This window comes from Homo sapiens, chromosome 9, assembly GCF_000001405.40.
Source record: "Homo sapiens chromosome 9, GRCh38.p14 Primary Assembly".
NCBI classification, from domain to species: domain Eukaryota; kingdom Metazoa; phylum Chordata; class Mammalia; order Primates; family Hominidae; genus Homo; species Homo sapiens.
This window is the reverse complement of record NC_000009.12, coordinates 11,242,378-11,268,649: the sequence shown is the minus strand read 5'-3', so window position 1 is coordinate 11,268,649 and position 26,272 is coordinate 11,242,378. Positions and strand designations below refer to the sequence as shown.

Genomic DNA, 26,272 nt, shown 5'->3' with positions numbered 1-26,272 from the left:
GAATGGAGAAAACTCTTTTAAATGTATACATTGGAAGGCTTGCAAAAGACTGGAGCCAAGCCTATTAACTACTCCAAGATTTCCATGATAGATCAAAAACTAGATAAAAATCCCTCAGCCTTTTCAGAAAGTCTGAGAGAAGCCTTAGTGAAACAAACTGCCTTGTCTTCCAATTCATCTGAATGACATCTAATCTTAAAGGACAAGTTTATTACTCAGGCAGCCCCTGATATCAGAAGAAAGTTGCAAAGAGAGGCCCTGTTCTTTTGGACATGCTTATTCCTCCTCTCTGATTTTTCTCACCCTCATGTTGAAGCTTTGCAGTATGTAGATAACATTCTCCTGTGTACCCCAACTGAGGAAGACTCAGGAAGGCACTGAGGCTTTCCTCAATTTCTTAGCTGAAAGGAGATGTGGGGTTTCAAAATCTAAGGCTCAGCTCTGCCAGACTTCAGTAAAGTATCTAGGTCTAGCCTTATCAGAAGAGACCAGATCACTAGGTGAGAAAAATATTAGGCCTATTTCCTCCTTTTCCCTTACCAAAAACCTTAAACAGCTGAAGGGATTCTTAGGCATTACTAGACTTTGCAGACTATAAGTACCTGGGTAGTGTGAGATAGATCACCCTTTATATCAACTCATAAAATAAACTCAAGCAGCTAAACTCACAATTTGACTTGGGAACCTGAGGCTTAAAAAACCTTTAACCAGTTAAAATAAGCCTTGCTTAAGTCACCAGGCCTTACTCTTCCCATAGAGAAGGCATTCAGTCACTATCTGTCAAGAAGGAAGGAAATGGCTCTGGGAATTTTAACTCAAGCACTAGGTCAAGCTCAACAGCTAGTAGGTTACCTAAGCATGGAGCTTGATTTGGTTGTTAAAGGATCACCAGCCTGCTTCCCAACAGTTGCAGCAGTGGCTTTGCTGGTGCCACTGGCCACCAAGTAACCATGGGAAATAATTTAACTTTATATACCCCACAAAATGTGGCAGGACTGTTGTCCTCTAAGTGAAGTCTCTGGCTAACAGATAATCACCTTCTCAAATATCAGTCTCTGCCATTAGAGGGATCTGAAGTCCAGTTAAAAACCTGTCATTGCTTAAACCCAGCCACTCTCCTCCCAAGGAAAGTGAAGTCTCAAGTTATAAAAATCAGAAATGAAAAATGACTTTACAGATGTAATGTCATTTACTACTGACTTTACAGATGTAAAAAATTATAAAAGAATACTATGAACAACTGTATACCAACAGATTGGATAACCTAGATAAAATAAACAAATTTCTAGAAACACATAAATTACCAAACTAACTCAAGAAAAAGTAGAAAATCTCAAAAGAACTATAACAAGTAAGGGAGTTGAATCAGTAGTAAAAAATAGTCAAACTCATAGAAGTTGAGGGTAGAATGATGTTACCAGAGAGTAGGGGATGAGCAGATAGGGATATGTTGGTTGAAGGCACAAAGTTTCAGTTAGACAGGAGGAATAAGCATTTGAGATCTATTGCACAACATGGTTAATATGGTCAATAATAATGTTTAGCTAATAATAATAAATTTCAAAATTGCTAAAAGCCTGTATTTTAAATGTTCATATGACAAAAAGTAAGTATGTGAGGTGATGAATATGTTTGATTTAATCATTCCATAATATGTATATATGTTAAAACATCACATTTTACCTTATAAATATTTACCATTATTGTTTGTCAATGGAAAAAAAACTGTAAATATTAGGTCACAAAGTTTTGAACCTGGGCTTGTTGGACTCCAAAGCCAGTGGTAATATTTATACTATTTTGCTTCCCAACTAGTTCTGCAATTGTAACCCTCAAGAGAAGAGGAGGAAGAGACAAGTATTTGGTGCTCTAAAACAAAACAAAACAAAACAAAAAACTTCCAACATAGACAAACTCAGGATCAGATAGCTTCACCAGTAAGTCATATCAAACATTTAAAGAATTAACACCACTCTTCTCAAACTCTTTCAAAAGAAATGGAAAGTGAAAAAATGCTTTTGAAATCATTGTATGAGGCCAGCTACAAAGACACGACGAGAAAACAAGATAATAGACCAATAGATTTTCTGAATATAGATGAATGAATGTGGGAAAATATCTCACGTCCATGGATTAGAAGACTTAATACTGTTAAAATGATGCTTCCACTCAAAACAATATAGTGTCAATGCAATCCCTATCAAAATCTCAATGGTCTTTTTTTAGAAATGTAAAAACCCATTATGAAATTTATATGCTATTTCAATGAATCCTGAATAAGCAAAACAGCATTAGGGAAAAATGTTGGAGAATTCACATTTTTTCTTTTAAAATGTACTATAAATCTATAGTAATCAAACAGTATGGCTCTGGCATAAGGATAGAAATATAGGTTAATGAAATTGAATTGAGAACCCAATAATAAACTCTTACATAAGCAGTCAATTGAATAACCCAGACATGGTGGCTCACACTTGCAATCCCAGCACTTTGGGAGGCCATGGTAGGAGCATCACTTGAACCCAGAAGTTTAAGACCAGCCTGGTCAACGTGGTGAGACCCTATCTCTACAAAAAATTTAAAATTTGCCAGGCATCGTGGTGCATGCCTGTAGTCCCAGTTACTCAGGAGGCTAAGGCAGGAGGATCACCTGAGCCTGGGAGGTCAAGACTGCAGTGAGCCATGGATTGTGCCACTGTACTCCAGCCTGGATAACAGAGCGAGACTCTATCGCTACAATTTAAATTAAAAAAAATTAAAGATCAGTTGAATTTCGCAAGGGTACCAAGATAATTTAATGGAAAAAGAAAAGTTTCTGCAACAAGTAGTACTAGAAAAACTGAATATGCACATGCAAAATATGAAGTTGAGACCATTATACCATATTCAAAAATTAATTCAAATTGATTCAAATAGAGTCATTTCCCCTTATCTGTAGAAGCTATGTTTCACGACCTCACCCAATGGTTGAAACTGTGGACAGTATCAAACCCTGTAACTGTATATATAATGTGTGTGTGTGTGTGTGTGTGTATATATATGTGTGTGTGTGTATATATACTTATATATATGTTTAATACATAAGTTAGGAAGAAATTAACAACAATAAATAATAATAAAATAGTACAATTGTAACAATACACTGTAATAAAAGTTATGTGAATGTGGTCTGTCTCTCTCTCAAAATGTTTTATTGTACTATATTCATGCATAATATTTTCAGACCACAGTTGACTAGGGGTAACGGAAACCACAGAACATAAAACTGCAAATAAGAGAATGATGACAGCTACTATATTTAAGAGCTAATAATATACAATTCTTAGAAGAAAACAGGAGCAGATGTTTACAACCTTGGGTTTTACACTATTTTTTTATTAAATATGACCCCAATAGCACAGGCAACAACAAAAATATAATAGATAAATGGAACTTTATAAAAATTGAATAGTTGGAAATAATGTTCCCAAGTCATATATACAGTGTAAATTGACATAAATTTCATGTATACGGAATCCTTTATACCAACGCTTAGCAAAGAGGTCCTTGCTGTCCTTTAACCATGTACAAGATAGCAAATTTTATCTGGTTTTCATGTTCAGGTTTTAAATTTCAAAAATATGTACATTTCCTTTAGGAACATTTTAAATTAGACAATCAATTTAGTCGTCCTTACCCTCAGATTACATATCCAGACATAATCAAAACTTTTTCCTTTAATGTTAATTTGGGATCAAAGGAGAACAAAGTATACCAACCTATTCCTGTTGCAATCTCTGCCTTCCTATCATTTAAGGTATTTGTGTAAATCCTTGGAAGATTTTAACTACATATAACAACAAAAGATTTAAACCCTGTTTTATATGCAATGCTTGAAAATAATGTTATTTAGTCCATGACTAACAAGCTGAGAAGAGACACAGGATATATAAAAATGAACATTTTAATACTGCTTTTGGCAGTGTCAACTGCTGCTTTACTTCTACATTACCAAATGAAAGATTAACAGGGATTAGGAAATGAGCACATTGGTTCTCAGGATATGGTGAATAATAAGGGGATGCTCTCAGAACAACATAAAATAATCTCTAAATTAATTTCATGCTTGACAAATGAAAGTTTGAGGGAGATCCATAGCTATTAAGCAAAATTCTTATAAATTAGAAACACAATCTGCAGAGGGATTACAAGTCATTTAGAAAGGCTGCTTGGCAATTGTGAATATATGTGGCACACAATGCATTGGCATCAATTTGGAAAATAGATTCCTTACTTGGCAACCAGGCCTCCCATTGTCAAGCATGCCTGATATTATACATCCCCAGTCATGAGTAGGGCTATTCAAAGAGGTTAAAACATGAAAATAACTTCCAAATCATCATTTGGCATGTACATTGCATATAAATTGAAATGATATGCATGGCCAAATTAGTATTTTCTGTCTAATTATTTTGGTACTAAAACAATATGCTTAATGTGAACATGTTGGCAATATATAAATGATTAAGCTGTAAATGAATCCTGATTTCAGATGTTTTGACTAAAGGAGGCTTAAATCACACTCATGCTGTTCTGAGAGCTACTAAAAATTTCCATAGGATGCTTAATTTGCAAATCACTAGGTCATTTTAATATTGCATAGCGAGGTGATACTCAGCCTCACTGCTGTACTAATAATGTCATGGATGTCCGGTCAGAAAAACAGATAAAAAGGGAAAAGGGGGCATTCAAAGAAACAAACCCAACACACACGTTCCACTCATTATTACAGGAAATAAGTTCTATAAATTCTGGCCATTTAGTCCCTGTAGCTCACAATTAGTCTTATTTTCATTAATGGGTTCATCAACATTAGCTACTTTTGTTTCACATCATACTGTTATGTAAAATTATGTGCTGTGTCCTACTTTAATTACGATAATTTGATTATGAGCTCCAACACCAATAAAGAGGTATGAGTCCTTCGATTAATTAAATTATTTGTCTTTGACTCAAGTTAGATAGCTTTCATTGTCAATAAGAGATGGAAAAACTAACCACTGCATAAAACTGTCTGGAACTAATGGTTCATATGGTTCTATGGATGGTTCTCTTCTTCCTTTATTCTTTTTTTTTTTTTTTTTTTTGAGACAGAGTCCAGCTTTGTCGCCCAGGACAGAGTGCAGTGGCGCAATCTGAGCTCACTGCAACTTCCGCCTCCTGGGTTCAGGCTATTCTCCTGCCTCAGCCTCCTGAGTAGCTGTGATTACAGGTGCCTGCTACCATGTCTGGCTAATTTTTGTATTTTTAGTAGAGACAGGGTTTCACCATGTTGGCCAGGCTGGTCTCGAACTCCTGACCTCAAGTGATCAGCCCTCCTCAGCCTCCCGAAGTGCCGGGATTACAGGAGTGAGCCACTGCTCCTAGTCTCTTCTCCCTTTATTTTTGAATCCTTATTTTCTTAGTAGGACTGTGGCAGTTCAAGTCCTTTTATATACTAAAATATGCCTGTATCAGGCACATTGCTTAATAGCTTCAAATATCATGATTTCATATACCTAGGTTCTAAATTGGAAGATAAGTAATAGAAATAAAAGTTTTGTTTCCTTGTTTTCTTTCCCCTGCCTTATATGTGTCAGTCTTTTTACTTTTCTGCAGGAAATCTTGCTAAAAAAAGACTTAAAGTGAGGGACATGCAGATAACTCTAACCAATTCCTATTGGTTAGTTAGTGATTCAATGAAATCCAGCATGCCATTGATCACATGGGTGTATAAATATCTCACCAATATTTCACATAACTAAAACATTACATGGAAAAGACTTGAATTCTTCAAATTTAGAGCATGTCTTACAAATTGTTTTATTCCTATCACTTGGCATAGTGCTGCCATATAATATAAACTATAAACATAAACATACATACATGGAAGCCATATGTGTGTATGTGTGTGTATTCACTCCAACTTTGCCCTTATTCTTCAGTGTTATGTTGGCTAATTTAGGCTTTTTACCATTCTATATAAACTGTAGAGCCAATTTGTCAATACCTACAAAATAGTTTGCTGGATCTTTGGGAAAAACAAGTTACATTTTTCTTCTTTTTAAAATTGTGATAAACACGTGTCATTAAACTTACTATCGTAACCATTTTAACTGTAGAGTACAGTGATATTGAGTACATTTATATTGTCATGCATTCATCACCACTGTCCACTTCCAGAACACTTTTCATCTTGCAAAACTGAAACTTTACATCCATTAAATAACAACTCCTCCTTCCATCTTCCTCCATGCTCTTGGTAACCATAATTTTACTTTCTACTGACTCTATAATTTTGTATTCTCTATCTACCTCAAAGAAGTGGAATCATACAGTATTGTCTTTGTGGGATTGGCTTATTTCTTTCAGCAAAATGTATTCAAGATTCATTTATGATGTAAAATATAACATAATCTCCTTCCTTTTTAAGGATGAAAAACATTCCATTGTATGTATATGCCACATTTTGCTTATCAATTCATCTGATGACGGATACTTGGGTTGCTTCTATGTTTTAGCTTTTTCAAATAATGTTTCTATGAATCCAGGTCTACAAATATCCCTTGAAGTCCCCGCTTTTTTATTTTTGTTTTAATTATTCCATTTTTTAAAGTTCTTGGGTACATGCGCAGGATATGCAGGTTTGTTACATAGGTAAACATGTGTCATGGCAGTTTGCTGAACCTAACAACCCATCATCAAGGTATAAAGCCCAGCATGAATTAACTCTCTTTCCTAGTGCTCTCCCCACCCCCACCCTCCCCACAACAGGCCCCAGTATTGTTCCCCTCCCAGTTTCCATGTGTTCTCATTGTTGATCTCCCACTTATAAGTGAGAATATGCAGTATTTGTTTTTTTGTTCCTGTGTTAGTTTGCTCAGGATAATGGCTTCCAGCTTTATCCATTTCCCTACAAAGGACATGATCTCATTCCTTTTTATGGCTCCATGGTATTCCATGGTGTATATGCACCATATTTTCTTTATCTAATCTATCACTATGGGCATTTGGGTTGATTCCATGTCTTTGCTATTGTGAATAGTGCTGCAATGAACATATGAGTGCTTGTGTCTTTATAATAGAATGATTTATATTCCTTTGTTAATATACCCAGTAATGGGATTGCTGGATCAAATGGTATTTCCAGTTCTAAATTTTTAAAAAATCGCCACACTGTCTTCTGCAGTGGTTGAACTAATTTACATTCCCGCCAACTGTGTAAATGCATTTCTATTTCTCCACAACCTTGCCAGCATCTGCTGTTTCTTTTTTTTTTTTTTTTTTTTGATAATCACCCTTCAGACTGGCATGAGATGGTATCTCATTGTGGTTTTGATTTGTATTTCTCTAATAATCAATGATGTTGAACTTTTTTTACATGTTTGTTGGCTGCATGTATGCCTTTTTTTGAGAAGTGTCTGTTCATATCCATTGCCCATTTTTAATGTGGTTGATTCTCTAATGACTGGTTATGCTGAACATCTTTTCATATTCTTCTTCATCATGTATATGTCTTCTTTGGAGACATCTCTAAATCCTTTACATGTTTGAGGCATTCTTTACATATTCTGGATATCAGTCCCTTTTTAAATACGTAATTTGCAAATACATTCTTCATTCTTTAGGTTGCCTTTTTACTCTACTGATAGTATCTTTTGATGAATTAATTTAACATTTTTCATAAATTCCACTCTGTCTAGTTTTTTTTTGTTACCTATGGCATTGGTGTTTTATCCAATAGAGTATGCCAAATCTGCTCTCATGAAGCTTTTTTCCAATGTTTTATAGTTTTAAACCTTGTCTTTAGGTAACAGATCCATTTTTAGTTGAATTTTGTTTATGGTGTTATACACAGAACTAATATTATTATCTTGCATGTGAACATTCAATTTTCCAGGTAGCATTTATTGAAGAGACTGACTTTATTTCACTAAGTGATCTTGGGACATTGTGAAAGTCATTTGATCATATATGCCAAGGTTTATTTCTGGACTCTATTCCATTTGCCTACCTGTCTATCTTTGTAGGAGTTCGGTCAGGGTGGTGGGATAAGATGTAAGAAAAATTATAGGAAAGACGCAAACCTTCTTGGAAGGCTGGAAGGTTTTGCAAAAGCTTTGGGAAAGGGTTATGGCTGAAGGCAGCCTAATCCTCTTACCTTGAGCTAATAGCAAAAAGCAAATAACAAGGGAACATAGGGGAGTTTATCTAAATAGCTTGTTTACTCATGTTGTCATAAGACCAAACTTTGATCATCTGCGTGCAGGACTGCTCTCTCTGGGGGGTGGGGCAACCATGTTAATTGCCCACAGATGTGTTGACTCAAAGCCTTTGTCATTAAATCTTTACTAATAAATTCCCACAGCACCAGCTCGTCAAGGCTGTGGCTGCTACAACTCTTTCTGTGAGCAGCCCAGTCCCCTAGCCCACTCTTTCATTGGATACCTGTGTCTGAGTGCATTTTTTCAGCCATCACTTGGTCAGGGTCTGTGGATTGGACCTGGCAGGTGGTTCCCTGCGTGAGGAACACTGCAACAGATCATGACACAACCCTTGAAAACAAAGGTGAAAAGACTGTGCGGTTAGTGAGTCAATAAGTCATTGGTGCCTGCTTGGGATTTCCAGTTCGAGGGAATTGTTCAGGCTAGGGTTTTATCTTGTGATAACAGATATCAGCACAACAGAAGCAGTATATAAAAGTATTGAAACAGATGCTTAAAGCTAGCAGAGCCTCGGTTTCACAGGCTCAATTAAGGAACCTAATACAAACTGTTGTTTTTCATAACCCATGGTTCCCAGCAGAAGGCACCATGGACCTAGAGCTCTGGGAACAAGTGGGGAGAAATCATAAACAATGTCATATGCAAGGGCAACGGGTCCCAGTAATATCTCTAATGTTACAGGCTTACTTAGGGCAGCTCTGGCCCTGTTATACACAGAAGAGCCTAAAAAGGAGAGGGAGGAGGACCCATCACTTACCTTACCGCCTCCTTATCCCTCATCCCTGCTATCACCAGGCCAAAATAACAAAGAGGAAACGGAGGTTTTGCCTGAGCCCTCTCCTCCAATCAATTGGAAAAAAGACAAGGTATACACTACAGCTATGGGACCCTGTCTTAGGCAAGCGGCATTAGAAGGGCAGCTCTTAGCCTGCCTGGTAATGCAAGATCAACAAGGCAAACAGATTTAAAAAAGGCATTTGAGAAAACGGAGCCACTAGCCCATTTACAAAAGGGTTAACTGAGGTCACTCTGCAGACCTCTTTCTAATAATGGCCATTGTTATTCCTCCCCGACCCTTGATATAGCTCTCTCAAAATCCTATTTGAGTAGAACAGTAGCCTGTAAAGGGAGAGAAATTGCAAAGACCTCATGAGTTAGTTGTGGAGCAATTAAAAGCCTGCGATATAGAACCCTTGGAATTCACCCATTTTCATCATTCCCAAAAAGTCTGGTAAATGGAGACTTTTGCATAACTTATGTGCTATCAGTGCTAATTTGCAACCTATGTGGCCCCTTCAGGAGGGGCTCCCCTCCCCTGCGATAATTCCTCGAGATTGGCCTATAATCTTTATTGACTTAAAAGACTGCTTTTATACTATTCCCCTAGCAGAACAGAACAGAGAAAAATTTGCGTCTACAATACCAGCTATCAATAATGAAAGGCCAGCTTGCCGATTTCATTGGAAAGTGCTTCCCCAAGGAATGCTGAACAGTCGTACCATGTGTCAGTATTACATAAATCAGACTTTGCTCCCCAGTAGAAAAGAATTTCCTAATTGCAAGATTATTTCATTTTATGGATGATATTTTACTAACAGCCCCAACAGAGCCAGTACTTTTAAGGTTATATGCCTCTGTCATAAGGAATACATAGTTAAGAGGTTTAATCATAGCACCTGAAAAAGTACAAATGTCCTCTCCTTGGAAATATCTTGGGTACATACCAACTTCTTGGTCAGTAAGACCTCAAAAGGTTAAATTAAGTACTAGCAACTTACATACCTTAAATGATTATCAGAAATTGCTAGACAATATTAACTAGCTTCATCCCACCTTAGGCATAACTACTGATAATTTACAGAACCTGTTTTCTATCTTAAAAGGCAATGCTTCACTAGACTCTCCCAGATATTTAACTCCCGCAGCACAAAGGAAAATTGAAGAGATAGAGCAAACTATTCCTCAGAGGCAACTAGATTGCATAGATCCATGGTATTCAGTTCAGTTGTTTCTTTTTCCCACTAAACACTCCCCTAAAGGGTTAATAGGACAGATGACCCTAGGTCTGCACTTCCTAGAATGGTTTTTTGCTCACATGCTAGGACTAAAACACTCTCTCCCTATATCCAGTTAGTCAATAAAGTCATCTATTCAGACTGCAGATGATGCAATCAGTTGCTAGGTTGTGACCCTGATATTATCAGAATTCCTTTAAGTAAAAAGCAACTCGAAGCAGTATTGCCCTTATCTATGGAACTGCAAATAGCACTCTCCAGTTACACAGGCCATATAGAGAATGCCCTTTCTGCTGACAAACTCCTTCAGTCCTTATCTCATACTTCTGTGGTTTTTGCCTACTAAAATAGTTCAATCCCCCATACCAAACACTTTAAAACTGTTTACTGATGGCTCTGGTAAATGTGGAATATTGGCTGTTTGGTGGAGACTGCATAATTCCCTCACTCGTTTTGGATTTACTAGCACTCAGAGAGTTGAAGGTGGAGCCTTAATATTGGCCTTGGAAATATTTTCCACTCAGCCTATCAATCTTATTAGTGACTCTGCTTACTCTGTTTATTTATTGCAGAACCTTGAGACAGCCCTGATTAAGTCCACTCTGGAGCCCACCCTGTGTGTACTTTTTCTCTGACTTCAGCAATTGCTACATCAATGTACACATCCCATTTTTATTACACACATTTGGGCCCACAGCTCAGTGCCTGGCCCATTGGCTTATGACAATGATCAAGCAGACCTACAGGTTATGACATCACTGCTTGACCAAGCCACTCAATTGCATCAATTTTTTCACCAAAACTGGAGAAACTTATTTAAACAATTTCAAGTTACCCAAAGGCTAGTTAACAAATTATCCTACAATGCCCAGATTGCCACCTCACAGGCACGTCCTTTCCTTCAACAGGTGTTAACCCTAGAGGACTAGAGCCTAATCAGTTACGGTAAATGGATGTTACACACATCCTTGAATTTGGAAAACTTAGACATGTACATGTATCCATTCATGCCAATTCTCATTTAATTAGCACTCATGCTCTCCTTGGAGAGTCCACTTGATATGTCATTAAATATCTTCCTTTAACTTTTGCATTTGTGGGGCGGCCCACAAAAATTAAAACTGATAATGGTTTGGCTTATGCCAGCTCACAATTTCAACAACATTGTCACACGTGGAATATCCAACATTCCACAGGCATCCCGTATAACCCCAAAGGGCGGGCAGGCCATAGTAGAACATACCCACTCCACCCTTAAAAATATGCTCAAAACACAAAAAAGGGGAATATGAGTAAGGACCCTGCAACACTATTGGCACAAGCCTCATTTACCTTAATTTTTAAAATTTAGATGATAAATTTCAATCAGCTGTATAAAAGCACTTTGCTAAAACCTCTCAAGACATAAAACCCACAGTTTTATGGAAAGATGTAAACAGTAATGTATGGTGTGGTCCAAATGAACTGTTAACATGGGGAAGAGGATAGGCTTGTGTTCACAACCCCTCAGGTCCTCTTTGGATTCCAGCACAATGCGGCAAAACATACCATGCTGTGGCTAGAACCCAACCCAGTACCAGAAATGAAGAAAATGACCCTACAGGACCAGCAGCCCTGGACAATGCGGCTTCCTCGGATGACACAATCCACGGACGTTATCTGGGGGATGCTGAAGAGGACAACTCAGGAGGCTGAGCAAATCCTGCTCCGGACACAGACACCATTCACTCCAGATAATTTGTTCCTTGCTATCCTCTCTGTTTTGCATTGCAACTCATGTAGGGTATTAATCCTTTTTATGCTCTTGCTTTGTCTGCAACCTGTCCCTGCTATACTCCATTGGGTTCTTATCTTATATCCACCTTTCTTTCACCCTGCCACCTGGGCAGACACCACCTTCCCAGCCTCTAATAACATAACTGGTTGGCTGGGAGGGATAGATTTACCCTCTGTGGGGTCCCTCGTTAATGGCACACATTGGACTAAGGTGCCAGGTAACACTACGTATCACTCCACTATCCTCCCACTGTGTGTAAGTTATAAAACTTTTAACCATTACTGTATACCTGCCCAAACACAATTATGGCTACATCATGGCAAAGGAAATGCCTTAACAGTCTTAGTTGCAGGTAGCCTCAAACCGGACAATGCCATCAATGTCACTTTCCCAAACATTCCTCCCTGTGCTAAAGAACAAAGCTGGGAAAGTAATGGATTCCACTTTAGCTGGGAGGTCTGTCAGAGGAGACAGGCCTGTAGCCTCCACTTAGGCAATTATAACATCTTAGACTGGAGCCCCCAAGCCATTTGCAGGGTGATCATACTGATGTCCATGTCTATCGTGGCATCAATGACAGTTTTGTAGCCAGGTCCCATTCCCCTATAATTTGGGCCAATGGGGGATGGGATATCCCAGACCCCAACTAGAGTCCATGCCACCGCAAGACACTTTATGGTGCCTGGGACATCTTAGCATCCCCCTTAACATGTGGCATGGGGCATATCATAATTCCAGTCACAATTATACTATGACCTTTTTTCATAATCACACTAATGAGTGTCTGATTTGCACTACCCATCCATATTTTTTCCTTATGGGAACCAATATTTCTATTACACCCCAAAACTCCACGTTTGTGACCAGAGTGCAGGGACAGGCTTGGTTTGCCTCTTGTATCTCTAATTATAATATATCTAACTTAAATATTACTAATGTCGTGGTATTGAAGACACAATCTGAGGCTTTCCTACCAGTCAATTTAACAGGCGATTGGCAAGGTTCCTCTGCCCTTGCCACATTAGAACGTGCCCTGTCCCAGGTCAGATAAAAAAGATTCATAGTTACACTTATAGCCTTTATAGTCTCAACCATAGCCATCCTAGCAACTGCTAGTATTGTTGTAGCATCTATTACTAAATCAGTACAAACATCTACTTTTGTAGACAATTTGGCCAGAAATGTGTCTAATTAACTTCTCTTACAGCAGGGTATAGATCAAAAGATTATTGCACGTCTGTAAGCCCTCGAGGCTACCTTGAAATATGTGGGGGAGCGACAAGATGCACTGGCATTCCAACAGCAATTAAACTGCGAGTGGGAGCATAAACATATCTGTGTCACTTCTTTACCATGGAATCAATCAATATATAGTTGGAATGAGGTGAAACAACACCTCTGGGGAACCTTTCATGACAATTTAACAGCAGATGTAAAGCAACTTAAAACTACAATTATAGAATCCCTAAATGCCATAGATCTATACACCCAACAAACAGCCTTATGGAAGGGTATGCCAGATCATCTCTCCTGGATAGACCCCCCACTCCTGGGGGCCACCCCTTGATTGGAAAAGAATGTTACTAATTATACTCATGTTTGTCTTATGTTATTTACTAATTCTAGGATGCAAAGCAGGAATACAAGCAATGAGCGCCATGCCTGAAAAACCTGTTGCTGTACACATCTATACTCTTCAATCAACAAAACATGATGCTAAAAATAGAAAAGAGGGAGATGTAGGAGTTCAGTCAGTGTGTTGGGAAAAGTTGTAAGAAAAATTATAGGAAGACGCAAACATTCTTGGAAGGCAGGAAGGTTTTGCTAAAGCTTTGGGAAAGGGTTATGGCTGAAGGCAGCCTAATCCTCTTACCTGAGCTAATAGCAAAAAGCAAATAACAAGGGAATGTCAGGGAGTTTATCTAAATAGCTTTTTTACTCATGTTGTCCTAAGACCAAACTTTGATAGTCCATGCACAGGATTGCTCTCTCCGTGTGCAGTGGGGAGGTAGACTATGTTAATTTTACCCACAAGTGTGTTGACTCAAGGCTTTGTCATTAAATCTGTACTAAATAAATTCCTGCAGTGCCAGTTTGTCAAGGCCGTGGCTGCTACAACTCTTTCTGTTATCAGCCCAGTTCCCTAGTCTGCTCTTTCACTTGGATACTGTGTCTCAGTACATTTTTTCATCCATCGCTCAGTCAGGGTCTGTGGGTCAGACCTGGCATATCTTTATGCCAGCACCACACTCTTGATTATGATAGGTTTATAGTGAGTTCTGAATTAGGAATGTATGAGTTCTACAACTTTGTTCCCGTTTTTCGGAATTGTTTTGACTGTTCACAGTGCCTGAATATTCTATATTAATTTTAAGGTGGAATTTTCTATTTCTGCAAAATATAACATTGAGAGTTTGATAGGGATTGTATTTAATCTACAGATTGCTTTGAGTAGTATTGCCAACTTAACAATATTAGGTCTTCCAATTTATGAAAAGAGAGTGTATTTCTATTTATATATGTCTTTGTGAATTTCTTTCAGCAACATTGTGTAGTTTTCATTGTAGCCTTTCACATGGTTAGTTAATTCCTAAATATGTTATTGCTTGAGAGGTTATTGTAAATAAAATTGTTTTGTTAATTTTATTTTTGAACTGTTCATTATTAGTGTATAGAAATGCAACTGATTTATGTGTGTTGACTTTGTATGCTGCTATTTTGCTGAATTCATTTATTAATTCTACAAGGTTTTTTTTCCTCTTTTGTGGAATCTCTACATATATTTCTTTGTGGATTAATCATATGTAAGATCATATCATCTGTAAACAGAGATCATTTTACTTCTTCCTTTCAAATTTTAATGGCATTTGCTTCCTTTTTCTTTTCTAAAGGCTCTTGCTAGAATTTCCAGTACTCTATTGAATACAGGTGGTGAAAGTGGGCATCCTCACTTTATCCCTGATTTTAGAGGAGAAGCTTTTATTTTTTCACCATTGTTTATGAAGTTAACCATAGCACTTTTACTTGTGGCTTTTATTAAGCTAAGGTAGTTTCTTCCATTCCTCCTTTACTGAGTATTTTATCATTAAATTATATTGAATTTTGTCAAATGCTTTTTCTGAATCAGTTGCAATAATAATGTTTTCCCCCATTCATCCTGTTAACATGGTGTATATTCATTAATTTTTGTAGGTTGAACCATTCTTGCATTAGAAGAATAAATCCCTCTCGGTCATTATATATAACACTTTTGATATTGAATTTGGTTTACTGGCATTTTTTGAAGATTTTTGCATCAACATTTATGAGGTATTTTTCTGCAGATTTCTTTACTTGTGTCTTTGTCTGGCTTTGTTATCAGAATAACATTGGCCTTAGAAAATTAATTAAGGAGTGTTTTCTTCTATTTAATTTCTGAAAATTTTAAGGATTTGTATTCATTTTTATCCAAATAATTGGCAGAATTCACCAGTGAAGCAATCAGGTCCAGGGATTTTCTTTGTTGGGAGATTCTTGTTTTCTGATTCAGTGGTTTTACTAGCTCCAGGTCTAGTCAGATTTTATATTTATTCACAGGTTATTTCACTTAGATTTTGTGTTTCTAGAAGTTGTTCATTTTATTTAGATTGTTTAATTTCTTCAAGTGCACCTGCTTATTGTGCTATCCTATAGTTATTTTCACTTCTGTAGAATTGGTAGTAATGTCCTCACTTTCATTTCTGATTTTAGAAACTTGGTCCATCTTGCTAAATATTTGACAGTTTTTTAGAACTTTTCAAAGAACCAAATTTGGGTTTCAACAACCTTTTCTATTACTTTTCTATTTTATTTATCTCTACTCTAATCTGTATTATTTTTTTCTTCCACTGGCTTTGAGTTTAGTTTAGTTTGTTCTTCATTTTCTAGTTTCTTAATTTGTAAAATTAGATTGTTAACTTAGGATCTTTCTTATTTTATAACATAAGCATTTAAGCTCACATTTTTTTCCTTAGCACTGCTTTCCTTGCATCATATAAATTTTGCTATATTGTGTCTTCATTTTCAATCATATCTAAGTGTTTTCTAATTTCCTTTGTGGCTATTTTCTTTGATCTATAGACTGTTTAAAAAGTGTATTGTTTAATTTCTATAAATTTATATTTTTAAAGTTTTTTTTCTTCTGTTACTGATTTCTAATTTCATCTATGTGATCACAGAAGATACTCTGTATGACATTTATCTTTTAAATCTAGTGATACTTAAAATCTATTGAGACTTAGTATGTGGCTTAAAATGTGGTCTATCCTGGAAAATGCCCCATGTGCATTTGAGAAAAATGTGTATTCTTTTACTGTTAGGTAGAGTGTTTTGTATATGTCTGCTAGATCTAGTTGGTTTATTGTGCCATTCAAGTTCTTCTATTTTCATGCTTATCTTCTTCTGGTTATTCTATTCATTTGTGAGAGTGGTGTATTGAGTTTGCCAACTGTTATTGTAGAACTATCTCTCTCTCTTAAATTCCTTTCATTTAGGCTAGATATGTTTTGATATTCTGTTATTAAGTGTGTAAATATTTATAACACTTATATGTTATATATATTATATTTCTTACTGTATTGAACCATTTAATAATATATAATGATCTTCTTTGTGTTTTGTAAGGTTTTTTGATTCAATATCTATTTTTTCTAATATAGTATAGATACCCCTGCTTTCTTTTAATATAATTTTCATGAAATGCGATTTTCTATTACTTCACTTTTAAGTTATTCATGTATTTGAGTTGATATGGTTTGGCTGTGTCTCCAACTAAATCTCACCTTGAATTGTGGCTCCCATATTTTCCACGTGGGAAAGGACCTGGTGGGAGATAATTGAATTATGGGCTGGGTCTTTCCCATGCTATTCTTGTGATAGGTAATAAGTCTCACAAGACCTGATGGTTTTATAAAGGGAAATTTCCCTCCACAAGTTCTCTTCTCTTGTCTGCCACCATGTGAGATGTGCCTTTTACCTTCCATCATGATTGTGAGGCCTACCCAGCCACATGGAACTGTGTGTCCATTAAACCTCTTTCTTTTGTAAATTGCCCAGTCTTGGGTATGTTTTTATCTGCAGTGTTAAGCTGACAAATACATGAATCTAAAGTTTGTCTCTAATAGAGAGCATATTGTTGGATCATGGATATTACCCATTCTGCCAATTTTTCTCTTTGGATTGGAAAGTTTTGTACATTTACATATAGGTAATTACTAATAATGCAATACATTTTTCTGTAATTTTATAGATTTTTCCATGTGTCTTATAGTTTTCTGTCCCTCATTTCCTCCTTTTCTCTTTACTTTGGGTGATTAGTTGATTTTAGTCTCTTAAATTATGTAGAAGACAAAAAGTTAGGTTACACATAACCTAGTTTGCTAATATTATCTTTGTTACAGTAATACTGGCTTTATAATTGATTACTCATGTATTTACAATTACTGAGATCTTTATTTCTTCACATGGCTGGCCTTGAACTTCTGTCTGGTGTCATTCCAACCTGCAGGACTTCTAGCATTTCTTACAGGATGGGTCTAATGGTAACAAACTCCTAGAGCTTTTGTTTATCTCGAAATGTCTTAATTTCTCTGTCTCTTTTGAAAAAGAGTTTTACCAGATATAAGATACCTGGTTAACACGTTTTATTTTTCCTTTTTGCACTTTGAATATACAGTTGACCCATGAAGAACATGGGTTCAACTGCACAAGTCTGCTTAATACGCAAATTTTTATCAACCAAACATGGGTTGAAAAATACAGTATTCTCATGATGCAACTCCTGCATATATGAAGGGCCATATTTTTTATATGCAGATTTTGCAGGAACAACAGTGAGACTTTAGTATGTTTGAATTTTGGTAGATGTGAGGATTCCAGAACAAATCCCCTGCATATATGGAGGGATGACTTTATTAGCACACTGCCTCTCACCTTTTAAATTTCCAGTAAGTGATCTGTTGATAATCTTATGGGAATTTTTTGTAAATTTTTTTCTGTCTTGGTGTTTTAAAACTACTTTCTTTGTCTTTGGCTTTGGACAGTTTGATTATAATGTGTCTCAGTTTGGGTCTTTTAGAGGTCATCCTAGTTAGAGTTCCTTGAGCTTCTTGGTGTTTATATTCATGTCTTTCATTAAACTTGGGAAGTGTTTGTGTCTATTATTTATTCAAATATTATCTTTCCCCTTCTCTTTCTCTTCTTTTTTTTGGTACTCTCACAATGTGTATGTTGATATGATTGAGAGTGTTCCACGATCTTTTCAGTTCTGTTTATTTTTCTTTAGTCCTTTCCCTTTCCGTTGCTCAGATTCATTGCTTTTCATTGTCTTATGTTCAGGTTATTAATTCTTACTTCTGCCTGCTTAAATTGGCCTTTGAATCCCTTTAAGAAATGTTTTCTTATCAGTTAATGCACTCTTAAGCTTCAGAACTGATTTATGTTGTTTTCTGGGGTTTCCCATATCTTTTTGTATTTCCATTGATCTCATGCATTGTTTGCTTGACTTCTCAATGTTTTTCTTTAGTTTTTAAGCCTTTGTAAGACAGTTGCTTTATACACCTTGGCTAGTAGATCTGCCATCAGAAGTTTTTTTTGATTTTTTTAAATTATACTTTAAGTTTTAGGGTACATGTGCACAATGTGCAGGTTTGTTACATATGTATACATGTGCCATATTGGTGTGCTGCACCCAGTAACTCGTCATTTAACATTAGGTATATCTCCTAATGCTATCCCTGCCCCCTCCCCCCATCCCACAACAGGCCCCTGTGTGTGATGTTCCCCTTCCTGTGTCCATGTGTTCTCATTGTTCAATTCCCACTTATGAGTGAGAACATGCAGTGTTTGGTTTTTTGTCCTTGTGATAGTTTGCTGAGGATGATGGTTTCCAGCTTCATCCATGTCCCTACAAAGGACATGAACTCATCCTTTTTTATGGCTGCATAGTATTCCATGGTGTATATGTGCCACATTTTCTTAATCCAGTCTATCATTGTTGGACATTTGGGTTGGTTCCAAGTCTTTGCTATTCTGAATAGTGCCGCAATAAACATATGTGTGCATGTGTCTTTATAGGAGCATGATTTATAATCCTTTGGGTGTATACCCAGTAATGGGATGGCTGGGTCAAATAGTATTTCTAGTTCTAGATTCCTGAGGAATCACCACACCGACTTCCACAATGGTTGAAGTAGTTTACAGTCCCACCAACAGTGTAAAAGTGTTCCTATTTCTCCACATCCTCTCCAGCACCTGTTGTTTCCTGACTTTTTAATGATTGCCATTCTAACTGGTGTGAGATGGCATCTCATTGTGGTTTTGATTTCCATTTCTCTGATGGCCAGTGATGATGAGCATTTTTTCATGTGTCTTTTGGCTGCATAAATGTCTTCTTTTCAGAAGTGTCTGTTCATATCCTTCACCCACTTTTTGATGGGGTTGTTTGTTTTTTTCTTGTGAATTTGTTTGAGTTCATTGTAGATTCTGGATATTAGCCTTTTGTCAGATGAGTAGATTGCAAAATTTTTTTCCCATTCTGTAGGTTGCCTGTTCACTCTGATGGTGGTTTCTTTTGCTGTGCAGAAGCTCTTTAGTTTAATTAGATCCCATTTGTCAATTTTAGCTTTTGTTGCCGTTGCTTTTGGTGTTTTAGACATGAAGTCCTTGCCCATGCCTACGTCCTGAATGGTATTGCCTAGGTTTTCTTCTAGGGTTTTTATGGTTTTAGGTCTAACATTTAAGTCTTTAATCCATCTTGAATTAATTTTTGTATAAGGTGTAAGGAAGGGATCCAGTTTCAGCTTTCTATATATGGCTAGCCAGTTTTCCCAGCACCATTTATTAAATAGGGAATCCTTTCCCCATTGCTTGTTTTTGTCAGCTTTGTCAAAGATCAAATAGTTGTAGATATACGGCATTATTTCTGCAGGCTCTGTTCTGTTCCATTGGTCTATATCCCTGTTTTTTTTTTTTTTTACCAGTACCATGCTGTTTTGGTTACTGTAGCCTCGTAGTATAGTTTGAAGTCAGGTAGCGTGATGCCTCCAGCTTTGTTCTTTTGGCTGAGGATTGACTTGGCAATGCGGGCTCTTTTTTGGCTCCATATGAACTTTAAAGTAGTTTTTTCCAATTCTGTGAAGAAAGTCATTGGTAGCTTGATGGGGATGGCATTGAATCTATAAATGACCTTTGGTAGTATGGCCATTTTCACAATATTGATTCTTCCTACCCATGAGCATGGAATGTTCTTCCATTTGTTTGTATCTTCTTTTATTTCATTGAGCAGTGGTTTGTAGTTCTCCTTGAAGAGGTCCGTCACGTCCCTTGTAAGTTGGATTCCTAGGTATTTTATTATCTTTGAAGCAACTGTGAATGGGAGTTCACTCATGATTTGGCTCTCTGTTTGTCTGTTATTGGTGTATAAGAATGCTTGTGATTTTTGCACATTGATTTTGTATCCTGAGACTTTGCTGAAATTGCCTATTAGCTTAAGGAGATTTTGGGCTGAGACGATGGGGTTTTCTAGATATACAATCATGTCATCTGCAAACAGGGACAATTTGACTTCCTCTTTTCCTAATTGAATGCCCTTTATTTCCTTCTCCTGCCTGATTTCCCTGTCCAGAACTTCCAACACTATGTTGAACAGGCATGGTGAGAGAGGGCATCCCTGTCTTGTGCCAGTTTTCAAAGAGAATGCTTCCAGTTTTTGCCCATTCAGTATGATATTGGCTGTGGGTTTGTCATAGATGGCTCTTATTATTTTGAAATACGTCCTATTAATACTTAATTTATTGAGAGTTTATAGCATGAAGAGTTGTTGAATTTTGTCCAAGTCCTTTTCTGCTTCTATTGAGATAATCATGTGGTTTTTGTCGTTGGTTCTGTTTATATGCTGGATTACATTTTTTGATTTTTGTATGTTGAACCAGCCTTGCATTCCAGACATCAGAATTTTTTCTTAGTTTCTGTTGGCTTATTTTTTCTTTTGAATGGGCCATACTTTCTTTGTGTTTTTATTTTCTTGAAACTATACATTCAAATAAAAAGATGTAACATTGAAAATCAGATTCTCCCCTTCATTGGGGTTTGCCATCTTTCTTGTTTTTTGTTTTTTTGTTTTTTAATTACAGACTGCCTCTATGCCAAGGTTCAGCCTGAGTTACACCTTTAAAGTCTTCTTAGGTCTTTTCTGAGTCTGTGACTTCTCTCTGGCATGCACAGTGACTTTCCTATCCCCCTTCCCTTGTATGTATGATTGCTGTTAAATATTATAGTCTTCGATATCTAGTTCCCAAATGAGGAAGAAGGAAAACATAAAAATGGGAAGAAAAGGTGCCAGCCATTTAAATCCTTGGGAAATAACTTTAACCAGATGGAAAAGGGTTTAGAACAATGGAGTAAAGTGCAACAACAATTACTGTCAACTCTTTTTCTGCGCTTCTGTGATCAGAAGAAGCAATTAGTGATCAGAGAATAAATCTGTAATATTTGAAGACAGTCTTTTTAGCCCATCTTACCTCTCACAAGCTGTGTACAAACTTTTCCAGAAACACATGCGTAGCTGCCTACCACAGGGCTGAGGGATAGCAGATGGGTAGCTGCTACTGTGCTAACAGCTAAAGTTGAACAAAATCAACCACAGTTTATCAGCCAAGTTGCTAAGAACTAGGAAATTTTCAGGGGTTGTCTGTGTGGACTTCTAAAGATAATGTAAATGTTGAGATTTTAGATATGTATGTTAATAGAACTTACAATACTCTAAAGAGTCATATGGATTAAGGCAAACTTAGCATCTCAGTCTTTAAAAAAAAGAAAAAAGGTAAGAAAAAATATAAAAATAACAACATGGGAAATGTGTTTTAATAATAAAATTAAATAAATTTTTTGATGTAAAAATATTAGATTGCTGATATTCTTATGAGCTATACTAAAAATTAAGACATGGGTAGGGATTTTAGGCTTTTATTATACATTTTCTCTAAAATAATCAAATTTACTTTTATTGTTAGCAAAAACAGTAAGTGTAAAGGAGATAAAAATTAGTGCTTAATAAGTATAGAATTTTAGTTTTGCAAGATAAAAGAGTTCTAGAAGATTCACAGCAATGTGAATATACTTAGCACTGCTCAAATGTACACATAAAAATGCTTGACCATAAATTTAACCTTATGCCTTTTTTACCACAATTAAAAAATATATATAAACAATGGAAAGTGTAGCGTGAAATTTGTGCCCAAACTCTGCATGGCAGATTGATTTTGAGCCCTTTTTCAGAAATATTTTTACACTAGATATTATGTGAGTTATTTCCTGAAAGATGTTTGAGGCTTTGGGAAAAATAAACCTATAAAGTCATGTGAATTATAAGGAGCAGTGGCGCTCATGGGACTGGGCAGAGTGGAGGGGAAGCATGTGTGAAGGGAGTGTATTTTTTTCTTCACTTTTTTTTTTATATTAAGATCAAACTGACATATGGTGAAATGCAGTTTCCACAAATGCATTTATCTATGTAACCATCACTCTAGTCAAGATATTGAAAATTTCCAACCCAACCCAAAGTTCTCTCCTGCCCCTTTTCACTCAGATCCCACCTTCCAAAGCTAACTATCGTACTAACAATTCCTGTTACCATAGAAATAATTTAGTAAAGATTTCTAAAAGGATTAGTTGTTTAAGGTCATAGTGGCTTAGATCTCACACATATTAGGGAATGCTGCAGAATTAAGGGTATCGTAGCTGAAGTTCATAGCAACTTAAACTATTGATAAAAATGACACATGTAACTAGAAGTTCTTTCTATTTATTTTCTTTATTATATTTTTATTGATAAATATGCACTTGAAAATATTAGCTGATTTTTTGCTCTTGGAAAATATAGTGTTTTTCACAAAATACCCCAATAAAAAGTGGGCAAAGGATATCAACAGACGCTTCTCAAAAGAAAACATGTATGTGGCCAACAAGAACTTACTTTACTTGAAGCTTAAAAGGAAAAAAAGCTCAACCTCACTGATCATTAGATAAATTCAAATCAAAACTACAATGAGATACCATCTCATGCCAGTCAGAATGGCTATCATTATTAATAAAAAGTCAAAAAAACCCAGATGCTAGTGAGGTTGTGGAGAAAAAGGAACTCATTTATACCATTGGTGGGAGTGTAAATTAGTTCAACTATTTTGGAAGACAGTGTTATGATTTCTGAAAGACCAAGAAGCAGAAATACCATTTGATCCAGCAATCACATTACTGGGTATAAACCCAAAAGAATATAAATTATTTTATTATAAAGACACATGCACACGTATGTTTATTGCAGCAGTATTCACAATAGCAAAGACATGGAATCGACCTCAATGTCCATCAAGAATAGACTGGATAAAGAAAATGTGGTACATATACATGATGAAATACTATGTGGCCATTAAAATGAATGAGATCATGTCCTTTTGAGGGACATGGATGGAGTTGGAATTCATTATCTTCAGCAAACTAACACAGGAACAGAAAACCAAACACCACATGTTCTCACCTGTAAGTGGAAGCTGAATGATGAGAACATATGGACGCATGGGGGAGAACAACATACACTGGAGCTTGTCAGAGTGGGGTCATGGTGGGAGGGAGAGCATAAAGAGGAATAGCGAATGGATACTGGGCTTAATACTTAGGTAATGGGATGATCTGTGCAGCAAACCACCATGGCATATGTTTACCTATGTAATAAAACTGCACATCCTGTACATGTACTCCTGAACTTAAATAAAAGTTAAAGAAAATAATAATAATAATAATAATAGCAAAAAAGGAAAACATGATGTTTTTCATTATTTGAATAGGGTGGTTTTATTTAAATTACTCATAACATAATAGGGAAAATGTTTTCATGGTATTTTATTTGCACCATGGGTTTATTTGCATTTTACTTTATAATTTGTCTTGCTTGAAATTAGATTATTGCCTCGTTAAACAGCAGGATTATATTATTATTGCTTAATTTGAGAATCAAGTGGTCTCTAATTTTTGCCTTATGTATATAAATGGTGTATTAAAATAGAAATCAAATATTACCTATAGCCATTTTGGCTTCAGAAATTCCTCTGACTTCAAATAATAAAACACTTTTTGTTTAAAAATAATTTTAAAATAGCCTGTTTAATTTTTTTAAAAATGACTAATTTATAAAATGTCACAAATAATTACAATGACATCTAACGTAATAAAATATCAAATTATATGTTACAAATGGATGCAACAATAGCAACTGTTTCATCAAACCTAGGAAATTCAAGACATTAGTACCATTTAAATAGAAAAATAAAGAAAAAATAAAGAGAAAAAGCATAATTTTATTCCCAAATAATTCACTATTTCTAATCAATTTGGTCAAGGAATCAGTGCCCCTAATTTTCACAAGTATTTAAGTAACTCTTTTGAATATTCTTAAGGTAAAAGTAAAAGTTCTTGCTACAAATGTATTTTCCTTTGGCTTTAACATACACACATGAACACACACAGATATACATACTCATGACCATGCATATGTGCTAGAACTTAAAATACTGTTAGTAACCCATCCATAAGTATATATGCTTTTAAAGGATATTTGCAGTAGCCCCCTGATATCCTCATAAAACTTCAGATTATGTTAGTTTATTCTATGTTTAGGATCTTTCACAGATTTATTTTCTTACGATAAAAGGCTATTTTAAATGTTCAACAAACATAGTCACTGTTTTCCACAATAATTACTTTGTATCTCCTCTCTGGCAGTTATATTTTGTTAAGAATAAAGTGTTTGCATAATAACTATGATTTATATATTTGAATTTTTCACATACCTGCTTCCATATATAATTTTAGAAAATACAAAATTCATTTATACCAAAAAATACTTTGATAAAATACCAGTGAAAATCACAAAGCCACAGAAAATGTATAAGTTAAAATGTAAGTCAGAGGCAGAAAACTGACAAATTCTGGACTTAAATTTGATACTTGAACAATTAAACCTAATACCTACAGAATACTCCATTCATCAACCACAGAATATACATTCTTTTTATCTGTATGTAAAACATACTTCAAGATCAACTACATGCTCAGACATGAAGCAAGTCTCAATAAATACAAAGATTTAAATTATAGCAGCCCCACTCTCAGACAAAACTTAAACTAGAAATTTATATCAAGAAGATCTCTTAAAACTCATCAATTACATAGAAATTAAACAACTTGCTCCTGAAAGACTTTTGGGTAAACAATGAAATAAAGTCAGAAATTTAAAAATTATTTGAAAAAAATGAAAATGAAGACAGAAGATACGAAAATTTCTGGGAATCAGCAAAGTAGTGTTAGAGGAAAGTTTAAAATGTTGCTAAATGCCTACCTCAGAATGTTACAATGATCTCAAATTAACAATCTAATACCACAACTAGAGGAACTAGAAAAACAAGAAAAAACTAACCCCAAAGCCAGCAGAAAAAAAAAATAACTAAAATCAGAGCTGAATGGAATGAATTGAGACCCCAAAATCCATATAAAGAATCAACAAAACCAAAAGTTGGTTATTTGAAAAGATAAACAAGATCAACGGAACACTAGCTAGATTAACAAAGAAAAAGAGAGAAGATCCAAAAAATCACAATAAGAAATGACAAAGTTGACATTACAACCAATCCCATTAAATATAAAAGATCCTCAGAGACTGTTATGAACATTTCTATGCTAAGAACTAGAAAATACACAGGAAATAGATAAATTCCTGGAAACATACAATCTCCCGAGATTGAATCAGGAAGAAATTGAAACCCTGAACAGACCAATATCATGTTCTGATATTGAATTAGTAATATAAAATCTACCAACAAAAAAGCCCAGGACCAGATGGATTCACAGCCAAATTCTAACAGACATACGAAGATGAGCTGGTACAATTTCTACTGAAATTATTACAAAAAATCAAGAAGGAAGGACTCTTCCCTAACTCTATCTATAAATTCAGCATTACCCTGATACTAAAATCTAGTAAAGACACTGGTGAAAAATAAAAAAATTCTGGTGAAAAATGAAAACTACGGGTCAATATTTCTGATGAAAATAGATACAAAAATTATCAACACAATACTAGTAAACCAAATCCAACAGCATATCAAAATGTTTGTCATGATAAGGTAAGCTTTATTCATGGAATGCAAAGTTGGTTCAACATACACAAA

The 26,272-nt window shown here is 35.7% G+C and overlaps 1 long non-coding RNA gene across 3 annotated transcripts in view; it reads left to right on the top strand.

Annotated features, from left to right (window-relative positions):
• The window catches only part of LOC105375974 (uncharacterized), a 248,630-nt gene extending 233,949 nt beyond the window's left edge, over positions 1-14,681 (top strand). Inside the window, exons 5-6 of one of the 3 annotated variants that reach the window (XR_001746618.1) lie at positions 11,787-12,041; positions 13,662-14,681. This is a non-coding gene — a long non-coding RNA (uncharacterized LOC105375974). Of the gene's footprint in view, positions 1-1,815; positions 2,154-11,786; positions 12,042-13,661 lie in introns of those variants that run through there. The other 2 variants (XR_007061893.1, XR_929476.2) reach the window with 2 other exon arrangements.
• Positions 14,682-26,272: the final 11,591 nt, after the last annotated feature.